General features: G+C 41.3%; 1 long non-coding RNA gene across 1 annotated transcript; it reads left to right on the forward strand.

Annotated features, from left to right (window-relative positions):
• Positions 1–7,317: 7,317 nt before the first annotated feature.
• LOC124904550 (uncharacterized) lies at positions 7,318–15,267 on the forward strand. The gene is made up of 2 exons (XR_007066942.1): positions 7,318–7,490; positions 11,724–15,267. It is a non-coding gene; the product is annotated as an uncharacterized LOC124904550 (long non-coding RNA).
• Positions 15,268–15,923: the final 656 nt, after the last annotated feature.

A 15,923-nucleotide genomic window follows, 5' to 3' on the forward strand; every position in this document is an offset into this window, starting at 1 on the left:
ATTATATTAATTTTTAAGGTTTCTGAGAGTTTAAAAAGTGATACGTATGTTTTAAATTGACTAGACCTAAGATCACTAAGTTTATAGTCACAGGAAAAGATCAAGTGAAATAAGGTATTAAATGTTATGAAGAGTTACTCATTTCCTTAATTAATTGAAACGTTCATTTTTCAGTTTATGGTATTGAGACTTTGCACCAAGTTTTATGTTTCGCATGATCTATAAGAAGTCTTAAGAGCTAAGTTTCTGAACAAACAGAAAAATAACATAATTCTTGACTTCCAGTAATAAACTGAACAAAGGCAGAAGTCAGTAAGAATTAACAAAAAGGCCGGGCGTGGTGGCTCACACCTGTAATCCCAGCACTCTGGGAGGCCAAGGTGGGCGTATCATGAGGTCAGGACTTCGCGACCAGCCTGGCCAACATGATGAAACCCTGTCTGTACTAAAAATACAAAAATTAGCCGGGCGTGGTGGCGCGCCTCTGTAATCCGAGCTACTCAGCGGGCTAAGGCAGGAGAATCGCTTGAACCCAGGAAGCAGAGGCTGCAGCGAGCGGACATTGTGCCACTGCACTCCAGCCTGGGCAACAAGAGCGAAACTCCGTCTCACCAAAAAAACAAACAAACAAACAAAAAAAAAAAAACAACAGAAAATAATAGAGAAAAGAATCAATGAATATAAAAGCTGGTTCTTTAAAAAAGATAAATAAAATTGAAACATTTCTAGCCTAACTGATAAGGAAAAATAACAGAGAGAGACAGAGAAGACACAAATTACCAATATCGGGAAGGAAAGAGAATAACATGACAGCCCATATAACAGACATTAAAATGATAAAATATGAAAAAACTTATGTCAATAAATTTGACAATTTAGATAAGGTAGACAAACTTTATAAAAGACACAAACTACCAACGCTCATTCAAGAAGAAATAGATAGCCTGAATATCCCTACGCCTATTAAAGAAACTGAATTATGAGTTAAAACCTCCCCACAAACAAAACGCCAGACCCAGATGGCTTCACTGGCAAATTCTACCAAACATTTAAAAAGAAGAGATACCAATAGCACAAGTTATTTCAGAAAATTGAAGAGGAAAAAACACTAACTCATTTTGTGAGGCTAGAATTATCCTTTTACCAAATCCTGACAAAATAATGACAGGAAAATAAACTGTAGACAAATGTCTACCACAAACACAGATACAAAAAATTGTAACAAAATTTTAGCAAGTTGAATACACTTATTTGTAAAAAGATAATGCATCATGACAAATTGGATTTTCCCTTTGAGTTGCTAGGCTGATTCAACATTCCAACACCAACCTCCTTTGGATTAATGTTTAAATCATATACCTTTTTCATCCTTCCATTTTTTAAACTTTCAGTGTCTTAATATTTCAGTTGTGCCTCTTATAAGCAGTGTAGAGTAAGGTTTTATGTCTTCATCCAGTCTATTACTACTAATAAAAGATTATAGATTTTGAAATATCTTCAGTTCTGGACATTTTTGGTTTATATATTTTGAAACTGTGTTGTTAGCCGCAATATATTTAGAATTGATGTTTATGTGTTTGTTGAACACTTTTATTATAAAATCATCTGTCTCATAATTATTTCCACTTTAACAACTTATTTGTCAGATAAATTTGACTACATAAAAATTAAAAACAGTTCATCAAATAACACCATTAAGGAAATTTTAAACATTAAGCCATAAGTGGGAAGATAGACGCAATACATACATCTGAAAAGAGCTATGTCCCAGAGTATGCAAAAAACATACAAATCAATAAGAAAAATATCAGACACCCAATAGCAAAATGGGCAGGACATTTGAACTGGCACTTCAAAAAACGATATTCTAATGACCACTAAACATGAAAAGGGGCTCAACCTCATTAGAATTCAGGGATATTTAAACCATGATGAGTAACCATCACACTTACTAGAAGGGCCAAAATTTAAATGTCTGAAAATATTCAGAATTGGCAAGGATATGGAGCAATGGGTCCTCTTATATAAACCTGGGTGCATATTGGTACATATTGGTATATATTGGCACAGCCATTTTAGTAAATGACATTTTACACTACATTTTATTATACATGTACACTTTATTCCAGCAGTTTCACTGCTAAATATACCCTTGTGAGAAATGTGTACACATGTACACCAAAAATATGTATAAAAATATTCATAACAGCACAATGTATAATCACTAAAAACTGGAAGCAACGTCAATATCTATTAACAGTAGAATTGATAAATAAATTCAGATACATTCGTAGAACAGAATACTAAACAGCAACTAAAATGGATGAATCATTTCATGCAACAATTTGGATGAATATTACAAATATGTTGAGCAAAAGAAGTTGGAAAATGCATACCATATGATTCCATTTATACCAAGTTCGAAGACAGACAAGGAATCTATTGTTTTAGAGGTCAGGAGAGGTAGGGGATATAGGGTGATTTGGGAAGGGGAGCAGGAGCTCTGTGGGGTTCAGTAATGTTCACTCTATTGATTTGGGAAGTGGTTACAGAGGTGTGTTTACTTTGTAATAATTCATCAATCTCTGAATTTATGACTTGTAAACTTTTCTATATGTATGTTGTACCTCAATTTAAAAGTTAATAAAAGTTCTTCAGATGCAAATAAAACTAAATTTATTTTTATTTCATTTAAAAAATTTTTTTATCAAGAAAAAATAAAACTAAATTTCTTCCTGAATTTCTTGACACTGAAGTCACAAAATAGATGATATTGAATTATGTCAAACTTATTTTCCAATGCAAAGAAAAATCCAGCTACTTTCAGTGGACCGTGTTCTGCGAGCCTTACTCCCAGGTAGAGTATGCCTCCATTTAGAGAAAATTTCTATAATGCTTCTGTGTCAGTTCCACGGGGAAAAGATTGCACCTTATTGTTTCACCGTTGTGTGTCTAGTACCTAGACTAATTTCTAAACCAAATTAGGTGCTCAACAACATTTGTTGAATGATTAAAGGAGTTAAAGAGAAAGAAAACTTTGTCACTTGAAGTAGTTATAAAGGTAGGCCTGGGCTCCACTATTATTGAAAGGAGGCAAGGAAATGGTTCAAAGTAGGGAAATGTCTGCAGTGTGAACACTGGTTTGTGAATATTTCTCTTGTTATAAAAACATATGCTGTGAAAAGAAGCTCAGGAAATTGCAAGAGAAGAGTCTTCACTGTTGTCTTTTCCTACCAGCCTGATAAGTCACGAATACATCACAGTCGCCTACTTGAAGCCCACCTATGCTTTGAGTGAGTTACATGCACCCACTGGAAGTGATTTTAAATGACCTTTGTCAGAGAGGTTGCAAACAGGGGCATGTTTCTTCCAAAGAGCACACTAGTTAGCTTTCATCAGTGTCGGAATTTATATATTGAAAGTAATAACTTAACAAATATTCTGTAATTGAGCCTTTGCCTTTCCATGAATTTTTATCACTTTAGAGTGACTCATACGTGGACAGGTAGAAAATCCATGTGTGACACAGAACCTAAGCTGTGGAGAATTAGTCTCAGCACAAATTGTCTTTACCAGGCATTTGGCATTTAGTCTCACATTGCCTTGAATTGTTGTTTGCTCTTTTCATAAAAACAGTTTCCCATCTAAACTGTAAGCTCATTTCAATCTGGAGCTGTGAGTGTTTATTCTCAGATGTCTCCCCTGGACACTGAGCCATTAAGAAACATGAACTGACCTGAGCCAAGTACCAACCGTGTGGGCTGAGCTGTTTGGATCGCAGCTGACCACCCTCTGGCAGCCCACATATTCCCAAGAGTCAAGGGCGTTAGCCAAGGCCCATCCAGGAAGAGAATCTATGTTAAGTATTTAAAACAAATAATTTAATTCGGGGAATTGGTAACACAGGTGATGGAGGAGTTGGAAAGCCAACAGAGATGGGGTTCCTCAGGTATTAGCCACCTCAGGAAGCCACGGCCACTCCTAGGCTAGAAAAACAAAAGGAGGAGGCAGTGTTACTGGAGCCCAGGAGTCAAGGTCACCAAACATGAGCTGGGTCCATGTGGGCTGGTTCACCAAGAGCCAGAACCACAGGAGAGGCAGCTGCTGGCAGAAAAGCTACCCAAGGCAGAGTGGGAGGGAGCGAAATCCATGGCATCTCCCTTCCCTCACCCTCCAAATTCTCCCCACCGCCTCCCACTTATCAGGCCCAGCTGGAAGGTCTAGGAATAGTTGTGAGGGCAAGGCAGACCCACAACGGGCATACCAAGTCCTTATACCGTTTCCTTAGCCCTTCTCCCCATTCCCTTGTTGCAAAGATGCATGTTCTCTGATGTAGTTGAATTCAGCTGTGGATCATCTGCTCTACCCTCTGCAACCCCATCCTCATAGCAACCCTCCTAGGCATGTAGGAGGTGCCTGGCCTTTCCAAGGAGCAGCAAGGTGGCCAGGGTGGTGGAGCCTAGTGAGTGAGGGGGCTGGGGAAGCAGTGGAGGTCAGAGAAAAAGGGAGCAGAGCATATCCTGCAAGGCCTTTGGCTTTCCTCTGAGTGAGTGAGTAGGGGAGGCCTCTGAGGGTTTTCAGCAGAGGAATAATGGGATCTGACATTTTCATTACAATAATTCTGGCTGCTGAGTTGAGAAGCCACTGTGGTGAGGGGAGGGAGAAGGGTAGATTCAGGGAGACCAGATAGGATCATTATGATGATAATTCAGACAAAATGGTTCAGGCCAATGTTGGTGAGGAGCCAGAGTTGAGCTCTAGGGTCCCTCAACTTTAGGCATCAGGGAGATGAAGAGGGATAATGAAGCCCACTGAAGACGCGGCCAAGGAGCAGGGGTAAGGAACAGGAGGGTGGTGTCTTAAAAGCCAACTGAGGAAAGTGTAGCAAAGAAGAGGGAGTGGTCACCCCATCAGTCCCATCACCACCGATGGCCAAGTGGGAGGAAGACTGAGAAGGATGGATTTATCTGCCTGCAGTTTTGGTGACTTCCATGGGGCCAGTGTTGGCAGCATGGTGGGGTGATGGCTGATTGCAGTGGGTTGAGACACAGGGGCTTGAAACGAGCTGGAGACAAGGAGAGGCTTCCCTTTCCAGGTGTTTGGCTGCAGAGGGGAGTAGGGGCATGGTATGTGGCTGATCAGGGAACTTAGTTTGGTTTATTACTGATTTTGAATGTGAGAACTAAGAGCATGTTTCTATACTAAAAATAAAAGTGCACTAGAAAGGGGAAGACATGAATTAGGATACATCCTAAAATTAGAATTTTGGTGAAGTGATGTCCTTGAAAGGTTAAGAAAGGATGCAATTTTATTATATTTTTATTTTATTTTTAAATAAAATTGTATTTCTTTAAAGTGTACAACATGTTTATGTATACGTAATAAAGAACATGATGTGTATATATATACATGTATATAGGAATGATTACTCATATCAAGCTAGTTAATAATCATCTCACTGTTACCTGTGTGGGGCGGGGGGATGGGGGGCGGTGCCCAGTGAGAGCACTTAAAAATCTACTCTCTTTGCAAATCTGCAGTATACAATACAGTATTAGTAACTATAGTCTTCCTGCCACACATTAGATTTCTAGAATTACTCATCCTACATAACTGCAACTTTGTACCCCTGAACTAACATCTCTACCTTTCTCCCACCTCCCACCCCTGGTAACCATGCCCTGTGTAGTCAGCTTTTTTAGATTCCACACATCAATGAGATCATGCAGTATTTTACATTTCTGTGCCTGGCTCAGTCCACTTGGCATAACATCCTTCAGGTTGAAGGACAGAGTTTCAGCATTACCACCCTTTTGTGGCACCTGGGACTTTCCCAGCACTAAGGGTCCTATGTCCCAGGAAACCATCAGTCCTGGGCAACCAGGATGGTTAGTCACCTGAAGTGAAGTAAGTAGGAAGCAAGAACAGCCATCAATGAGATTGGGTAAGGCTGCCGCGTCCGTCCCTGTAATCCCAGCTACTTTGGAGTTTGAGGCAGGAGGATCACTTAAGCCCAGGCGCTTGAGACCAGCCTGGGCAACAGCAAGACACCCATCTCAAAGGAAAAAAAATGATTGGGGAAGGAGGTGCTGGGGATTTTTTTGGTAGCAAAGTGAACCTGGGGAGGCACCTCCAACTGGGCCACACAAGTTACCCAATCCCAAGAGAGCACGAGAGAATGGAGAGAAGTGGTCTTTTCCTTATGGTTTTTAAGCTTCTGATCAAAACAATCTGTCGTGAGAGAAAATCTTTAGCAACAAAGGCTTTGAGCTCATGAGGGAAAAACCCCAACTAATGCCCAAAAAGAAATAAAATAGGAGTCTTAGCTGATAGCCAGTGAAAAGAGAAAAATTCAAAATATTATCCACATCACCTACCCTATCTCTGCAGTTAATGGAAAATCACATCGTCTGTGAGCTTTTTGGAAAGAGGTTCACTAGATAAGACCGTCTGAAAAAAATCTGCCATAGAGAACTATTGACCATACCATTTGTTTTTCTTCTATTCTCTGGCTGTGATTGTAAACTTTGCTTGCTTGATAAGAACCTTTCATGTGAAGGAGCTATAGATAATATCCTCCTAGGTCCCGGGCTTATGCTCAAATGATAAATCATGTCAAGATAAGGAAATCATTTGGTTCTTTAAAGTTGAAAAGAAGATGTGATTAAAAATGTTATTTTGTGGCTATATGGGATGGTTTCCTATAATCAGTTACCCAAAATAAACCATATTATTTAGCGACTGTCTGCAGAAAGACAACCTAACAGATGTTTAAGACAATGAAAGAAAGCTGAAAATATCTCAAATATAGAAGTGCTTTTTTTTTAAAAAAATATGTGTATTGATTTTGGAGTGAGGGAGTGAGAGACATATGTTTATATATTTCTCGTTCCCTCACTAGCCTGATATTGCTTTTATGGGACAGGTTTTTTTTTCCTACATAAGATAGAAACTGATGCTGTGAACACTTCAAGTCTAGGAGAAAAAAATGTGAGTTGAAGCTATGTATGATCAGGATTTTGAACTGTAAGATATGTGGCTTGTGTGGAAATCTCTGAAGTCTATGAGATCACAAAGTGGAAGTCACAGGTAAACTGTGTCTGAGGAAGGTGCAGAGAAGGAAAGGAGAAAAAACTGCGCACGTTTGGAGTCACAGGTATTTTTGTTGCAATTTCACCATAGAATATAAGGCAGGGGGTTTCTTTTATGGATGAGAGCAGTAATCCACAAATATGACACCTTTTTTCCCACCCTCCCCCAGCCTGCTTACCCAACTCACTCACACTTCCTGTCTACCCCAAATAACCCGTACTTCTTGTCTATCCAAGACATCCAGTGCCTTAGGGCTCAGGGCTGAGACAGAGCGCGTGCCAACTGCACCTGCGCGGGGACTGAGTTCTCGGAGAAGGGACCCAATAGGTAAATGACTCCAGAAGGTCTTCTCCCAGCAGCCAGAATAAGACAGGAAATGAAGCCGCTTTATTGACAAGGTAAGGGAGCCAAGGCTGGGCCAGGTCTAGAATCGGGAAATGGGGGCATTTTCTACCGAGCAGACAGCCTTTGCTTCTCCCTCACAGCCAGGTGTCATATTTGTGGATTACTGCTCTCATTACTACTTCACTCACGAGAATCAGGCAGTTGGCAGCTGAGAGTCCTGGCCAGGGTTTCTCCCAGTTTTCCTCAAAAGCACCAGGGAGGATCAAGGGTCTGGGGTAGACCTGCTTTAGAAGCCTCAGGTGCGAGCCCTGAATTCGTGTGTCCTGAGCTGAGGACAAGTTTTTTGGTTCACTAGAGAGCATTCTCTGGTGGTGACTGAAGAATTCTCTGTCTGTGTTCTTTCCTGGTTTATTCTCCTGATATAAAATCCCAGGCTGTGCTAACAGCTTCACAAGGGGGGAGTTTCTGAAGAGCCCCAGATAGCACATTAAATAGGAATCTGTTGTGTGCTGGTCCCTGTTCTAGTCCTGCACATGAAGCAACTCCCAGCTTTGGGGCAGCAGGGAACATGTACACACTTACCTGTGGCCACAGAGGGTGGGCAGTGGATGCTAAGAGTGGCCAGCCACTCATGCAGGTAGGAGGCCAAGGCAGAAGGTCCTGGTTCTGAACCTGGAAGGAAGCAAATTCTAAGCATGAGAGAGGGGAAGCCAGCAGGGGAGGCACCAGGGCTTCCCCTCCTCCCGCTGAAGGGTTTTGAGTCCTATATTTTGCGGAGCGTCTTTCTCTCCTGGCTTTTCTGCTCCCTCCCTTCTCTCCCCTCACCGGCTTTTTACCCCTATCTAATTCTGAGCCCCATGGCAGACAAGAGGATCTGCAAGTGTGCGGGAGAGTGTGCATATTGGTGAGATGTGGGCATTGGTGAGATGTGGGCATTTGGAAGGAGAAGAACCTTCAGAATTATTTGGGGGAAAGGAAGGAGGTTTCCATTCTGGGTTCTTTCTTTACTTTTCTTTTTTTAGAGACAAGGTCTTGCTCTATCACCAAGGCTGGAGTGCGGTGGCACTATCATGCCTCACTGTTACCTCCCATTTCTGGGTTCAAGTGAGCCTCCTACCTCAGCCTCCTGAGTAGCTGGAACTAGAGGTACATGCCACCATGTCTGGATAATTTTTAATTTTTTTGTAGCTATATGCTGGTGCCACTGTCCTTTGTCTGCTACCCCAAAGCTATGCCTGGTTCATTGTGACAACATTGTAGCACAGGAAGAAAAAACAATATATATATGATATATATATATACATATATGATATATATATTATTATATATTATGTTATATTATGTTGTTATATATATTATATTATGTTATTAGATTATATTATGTTGTTATATTATATAATAATATTATATTATATATTATATATTATATTATATAATATATAATAATATTATATAATTATATATTACATTATATAATATATAATAATATTATATAATTATATATTACATTATATAATATATAATAATATTATATAATAATATATAATTATATAATATATAATAATATTATATAATATTATATAATATTATATAATATATAAATATATAATAATATATATTATATTATATAATAGTATATAATATTATATAATATATATTATTATATTATATAATATAAAATATTATATAATACATATTACTATCCAGTAAAGGGGCCTGAGTATAAAAGGAAGAAGCTTCATCAGGAGGCTCCGGAGGCTCTACACTGATGCCTATTTAGTCTGATTTCCAGTGATTTAGGTCAAACACATTTTGCAGAAATGGAGGAAAAAATGGTATGATGAGGGAAAGAAGTGCTCACCTGCCAGCATTCCCGCCCACCCACTGCACCCACCAACCTTGGCTTTCCTGGAGGCAGTGAATGTTACCCACAGCACGGAGGTCACCAAGGGGCTAGGCAAGCAAATGGGATTTTTAATATGAGCACTTCTTGCCTCAGCTCTGCTGTTCAGCATACTCATGAATGCTCAGCCAGTGCAGTTCTGCCTCTCCATGCGCTTATGTGCATATATATATATATACATATTTTACCATCCAGTAAAGGGTCCTGAGTATAAAAGGAAGGAGCTTCATCAGAAGGCTCTGGAGGCTCTACACTGATAGCTGTTTAGTCTGATTTCCAGTGATTTAGATCAAGCACATTTTTGCAGAAATGAAGAAAAAAAATGGGTAGAGAAATGTTTGATTTACAAGGCCCTTTCCCATGCCTTGTAAAATTCACCTAGCCTATGTTCCATTCTCTTGGGAGTGATGCCTGCTCCCCAGATTAATTCCATTAATGTCTGATTTCCAGTGATTGAAAAAATTTCCTGAATTCAGTTTGAGATTAGCCTGTTGCCCAGGCTAATCTCAAACTAATGGCTTCAAGCAATCCTACTGCATCAACCTCCCAAAGTGCTAGAATTACAGGCATGAGCCACCGCGCCCATCTGGTAACTTTATTCTTTAATCACCAGTACACACCTCGCCCAAGGGTCATTGTCCTCTCTCCTTCCATGAACTTAAGTACCTTTGCATCTCCCTTATTTATTGCTCTGCCTGACAGATAGGGGTGTTTGGTGAAGATAGGCTTGATGAATGAATGAATGCCCAAATGAAGAAGACAGGCTGAGCTTCCAAAAAATTGTTCTTATCCCACCCTGCCTCTAGCTAAGGAGCATCGAAATGGGGGCTGTCTGTCCAGACCAGGCTGAAGAATCATCTTCTCCTTTCCCGTTGAAGCCATAGGAAAGCCGCTGTTCTGGTCACCAATGCCAAGAAGGACCATAAAGCTCAGGGCCTGACCACAGGGCAGCCAGTCCAGTTCTGCCTCTCCATGTGCTTATGGAGTCACAGGTTTGCCCCTCCTCATCCTTCCTAAAGGGAATAACACAGCACGAATACTCTCATGTTGCCAGCCCTCAGAACACAGAATTCTCAGGGCCAAGAAAGTGAATGGAAGGTTTGAAAACATACTCTGGTCACCATATTAGACACAGGAAACCAAGATACATAAAGGCTGACAGTGCTTACCAGCCACAGCTTCTCTCCTGGCAAATGCTGGATGAAGAAAATCCACTGAAGAGTTATTTACACTATGCTCTAGATCCTACATGGTCATTAAAGGGAAGCACAGAACCTCCCCACTCAGAGATGGCCGGTGCTACATTTCTTTACCCATTTTTTCTCCATCTCTGCAGAAAGGTGTTTGACCTAAATCACTGGAAATCAGGCTAAATAGGTATCAGTGTGAATACCCCCTCCTGATGAAGCTCCTTCCTTTTATACCCCCTCTTCTTCTGGATGGTAAAAACAAGATTTCTTCTTCCTGGGCTCCATTGTTGTCAAAATGAGCCAAGCATAAAGCTAAGTTCTAGGAGGCTTTCAGGCTCCAATTCCCAGGGGACTGTGTCTCCTTCCCCTGTGTTCCAGGAGCCCATCTCAGTACCAAGGATGTGCTCAAGGACAAACAAGTGTTCTTTTAGTGCTGTCTCTGCCACCCCATTCCTTCCATTGGCCTGGCCCCCCCTGCTTCAGGGGCTCTGCCTTCCTCTGGGTCTTTTTCCATGCCTTGTAAAATTCACCTAGGCTATGTTCCATTCTCTTGGGAGTGATGCCTGCTCCCCAGATTAATTCCATAGACTAAACTGAGGTTAATTGTTTAATGCTTAGCTCCTGCTGGAAATATTGGCATTTTAATAGGGAGTCGTTGAAGGACTGGAGAGCTGCATTTTAGAAAAATCGATCTAGAAATTATGTAGAGTAAGGAATGGAGAGAGAAGAGTTAGAAAAGAGGAAAAAGAGTTAGCATACTACATAAAACTAAGTACGAAATTATGAGGGTATCGGCTGGCATGACTGTCGTGGACTGGCAAATATTTGCCATTTTTCGGATGCCAGACTCTTTAACAGTTTTCCTGTGTTTGGGAAACATTAGAATGAAGCTTTCTGTAGGTAAAAGCTAGAACTTTGATAAGAATGAACTCCTTCTCAGCCTTCTTGTCACCTAATGTGAAGCCACAAGACTTAAACTTGGCTCATCAGTTACTCACTTAAGAGAGGAAGCAGACGCTGAAAAGATGTCATTTTCTGGCAAAAGAGGTAGAATATGGCAGAGAGATACCATGATTTCAGAGGCCACGGGGCCTCCAGGCTGTGAGAACTCCCTGCTTGAATCTCTGGAGATTCTGAGTTTCCTAATATTTCTTTAATAGATAAGCTTTCTTTCTGCTTTGCTTTCTACCTAGAATGGGTTTCATTCTGGCAACCTTGATTAACACAAGAGGATATTGAAAGGATTTGAAGAAAGTTATCCCGCTGATTCCTTAACAAGATGGTAAGCACTTAAAAGATCCAATTTCATCTTCTTTACTACCCTGGCAGTGCTTAGACTATATACAGGCATTTCATAAGCAATGAAGATGATGCACACTGACTGAAAATATTTTCAAAGTTGTAAAGGACCCTCTGATTCTTAAAGCCAGGTTGGGCACAACTCATGCAAGCATTCAGTGGCCTCCAGAGCTCTCAGCCCAGCTGGGTGTCCTTTAGGGTAAGTAATCATACTTCCTGGAAGCCCACTTTCTCCATCTGTGAAGTGGAGGCCACAGGGAATATCTAATAAGTATCTAGTGATGAAATTCATGGGCGCTTGGAAAGGGCACTGTTTCAGACTGAGCAAGGCTCAGGAAGCCAGGGAGGCATAATCACTCCCACAGAAATTGCATTTGTCTCTAAGGTTTGATCTGCCTGTATGAATGAGAGAAAGAATTTAGCGTGAGGGATATTTAAAATTGGATCCTTTGTTTGCCTGAATAAATGCCTCATGCATTTTTGAGTTTGATTTCCTGTTTTGTTTATCTCCAGAAGAAAAGAAAATAAGGCAGAAAATTCTCCAGCAGAGCTGAGGCAAGAAGTGCTCATATTTAAAATCCCATTTGCTTGCCTAGCCCCTTGGTGACCTCTGTGCTGTGGGTAACATTCACTGCCTCCAGGAAAGCCGAGGTCGGTGGGTGCAGTGGGTAGGCGGGAATGCTGGTGGGTGAGCACCTCTTTCCCTCATCATCTACCATCCATCAGAGGCCTGTCTCCCCTGATTCTTATCTGACACTCATTTGCACTGCTTGGAGAGAAGGTGCAAGGAACTAGGAGAAGATGCTCAAAAAAACACGGATCAGGAAGATGACTGCAGCATTGGAGAAACCAGGCATTGATTTTGTGGACCTCTGGGGAAGAGCTCTTGGGTGCTCTTACAAGGATGACGAGGGCTGTGTTGATCTTGGGAGATGCCACTAAGGGGTTAGGGGTCAAAAGAATTAAATTGCAGAGGCTTAGGTGTCAAAATAAAGAGGAACCAAGAAACAAAATCATGCAGAGCTTTCCAAACTACACTCTTAGCATTTAGTCTTAGCCTTCCGTTAAAACAGCTAAGACAAGGCACATACCACTGCATTATAAACCTGTTGTAGCAGTCATGACCATTTCACGGAGTAATACCAACTTGCCAAAAGGATTGACTCAGAGTTAAATAGTGAAGGGAGGGAAGTGGCTATCTTTTGACTCTATAACATATTCGTCTTAATATCATGATGTTATCTTTGAAATTCTTAAATTTCAATAATATCATTATAGTGACAATTTTATGAGTTGGGTGTTGGATTCTCACAATCACTGAAAGGTTTAGTTGGGTGACTTTAGCTCTTTTTGGCAGCAGTTTAACAATAGTAACTATGTCGCTTTACTATTTAAGATATTTCCTGAACACTAGCTCACTTCTTAACAACTTGGTGAGATTGTTTTTCTGACTTTCCCACTTTACAGCTGAGGAAACTGAGGCTCAGGGAAAGAGAACTGGCACTTGCTTTTGACCCCAAATCCTGGCTCTCCTGGCTGCTCTGTGAAATCCTAAATCATGGTAACCCTGGATACCACCATACCAGCTTTGGTTGCATGATAGAATTAAGGCCAATAGCATCTATGCTGCAGTGAAGGCATGGATGGGAAACTCGCAGTGAAGGAGAGTGTAATTCATTGAAATGACAAATACATTGCATCTGTGCTATAAACTATGACTGAAATGCTTCCTGCTCTCCTTAAGGAAGTGAATAAGGTAAGCAAAGCTCTGTTTACCACATGGGAAAGCACCTTCACAAAAACCCAGGCCTGGACTCAGCCCCTGGTTCTGTGCACAGTGCTAAACCCAACGGGATTTCCAGTGACTCCTAGATGAAGCAGACATTATTTCGCTCTACAGTCTCTTCCCTATGCTCACAAACCAGCCTCTAGGAACTTATCCCCCACTAGCCAGTTCACATTTTTCATATGAACTCTGAGGGATATTTTTAAAAATCGACTGAGGCAGACTGGGTTCCCATAAGAAAAATGGCTCATGGTGGAGATCCTGTTTGGTCCCCAGGTCCTGCAGCATCAGCACTAATGGGACTTTGATCTGGAGTGCGTGTCTTCACCCTCTTTGCTGTTTTTATTGACACTGTGCAGTAAGAGCAGTGCAATTTCCTCCCATTTCAGCTCTGGGTTTTCTGAGACAGAACTGGAGGGAAATTGAGCTGTGACTGATGGAAAATACAATGGCTTTGAGTCAGGATGTGTCAGGTAGAGCTCCCTATGGTAAATCTAGCCTAAATCTGTCCAAACAGGCTTGCTCTTATATTGCCACTTGGGGTTGATTTTTCTTTAAATAAAAAGTACAAAATTTGCATAGAACTCCTTTTCTCTCCCTTTCCTCTCTTCTCCTCTCCTCCTTTCCTTTCATTGCCTTCTTTATTTCTTTCTCCCTTTCATTCTTTCTCTTTGCCTTTCTGCCTTTTTATCTTCCCTTCTCTCTTATGCTCTTTCTCTCTCTTCCTCCTTCCTTCTATCCTTCCTTCCTTCCTCTCCCCTCTCTCATGCCTTCCTTTCTTTGATCACATTGGCTAATATATAAAAGTTATGTTAAAGATTAATTCCAAGGTCAGTTTTTATTTTATTTACTTATTTATTTATGTAAAGAAATGGGGTCTCCCTGTGTTGCCCAGGCTGGTCTTGAACTCCAAGACTCCAGTGATCCTCCCACCCTGGCCTCCCCAACTGCTAGGATTACAGGCATGAGCTACCACACCCAGCCCCAAGGTCAGCTTTTAGATCTGTTCTCAAAGCTTTCCTAAAACTGAGACAGTGGTTCCTTACATTAATGAATTGCGTAATTAAGCCCCTCTGTCTGCAGGAATCGTGAGACTACTCCGACAGCTAGACGTTGCTTTTGGCTGAGGTGGAGGCAGAAAGAACAGCACAGTGCCAGCCCCACAAGCAGGAGCTGCTAAGGCAGGGACAAACTTGGAGAAGGTGCTGCCAAGCCTTGTGGGGAGGCCCAGGACACATTCTCCCCTGGGTACCATTGGAGGACTTCTTGTAAATCTCCAGGTTATGGTAGATGAGGATGCCAGGTGCCAACTCTCAGATGAACCAGCAGATTGGGGCTGTAGGTCAGAGATTTTGCTAAAGGTTAATGAAATCTCCTTGGGATGGTGGCAGTTGGAGGAATGGACTCACCTTTTCCCATGAGCAGGATGTTTATCATACTAAACACCAACGACTAACTGTTATGTAAACCTTCTGTGAGGGGATCCTGTTTAGACTTTGTTCAACAGGATTTATTTCTGACTCATTAGTGGAAAGACTTATGTTTGTTTTTGTTTTTTTTCACCTAAAATTACTATCATTGTATAATTTACAATATACACAGGCTTTTTCTTTTATTTTGTCTTAATAAATCTTCAAAATAATCCTGTGAAATAGGTACCATCTCCATTTTTCCATATCCCACACAATCTAGACATTTTAAAAAATCAATCACAGTAATAGTGACAAGTCAGATTTTCCTAGTTATGCCTCCATTCACTACTTCAGGACCTCCAGCATTTTCCTGATGCTACTTCATGACTCAGAAACGACTTCCAAACCCAGCACCTCAGTCACAGGGTGGAGATGGGGAATTGGCATTTATATTCCATTATTCCATTCCACCTTATTTTCTTGGTGACTTCTTGTGTGACAGGGCTGGAAAGATTTTTTTAAATGCCTTTTAAGACTGTCTTGCAGCTAGGGTGCTGGATGGTTTGTTTATGACGAACTTGCATGATTTGGAAGATGGAAGTGTGGCAGGGGCTACTGCCTGTGGCTTTAGCTGCAGCTCCTGGAGCTACTGTCCTGGAGATGATGCTGGGCTGCCTGACTCAGCATCCAGGGTCCAGCCACTAGCTTCAGTGGTGCTGAGAAGCAAGTGTGGTTCTGTGCCTGCCGGATGTGTGTTCTTGAGCTCCACCACTCGGGAGCTGCTTAGCAGAGGTAGACTGTTCTCCAGTGGGCCAGTTTATTGCTGTCCTGAGAGTTATCCTACTCACAGGCTCTCCCAAAGATTCTGCAAATTCCTAATTCCTGTTATTGAATCC

This window comes from Homo sapiens, chromosome 1 (assembly GCF_000001405.40).
Source record: "Homo sapiens chromosome 1, GRCh38.p14 Primary Assembly".
NCBI lineage: Eukaryota > Metazoa > Chordata > Mammalia > Primates > Hominidae > Homo > Homo sapiens.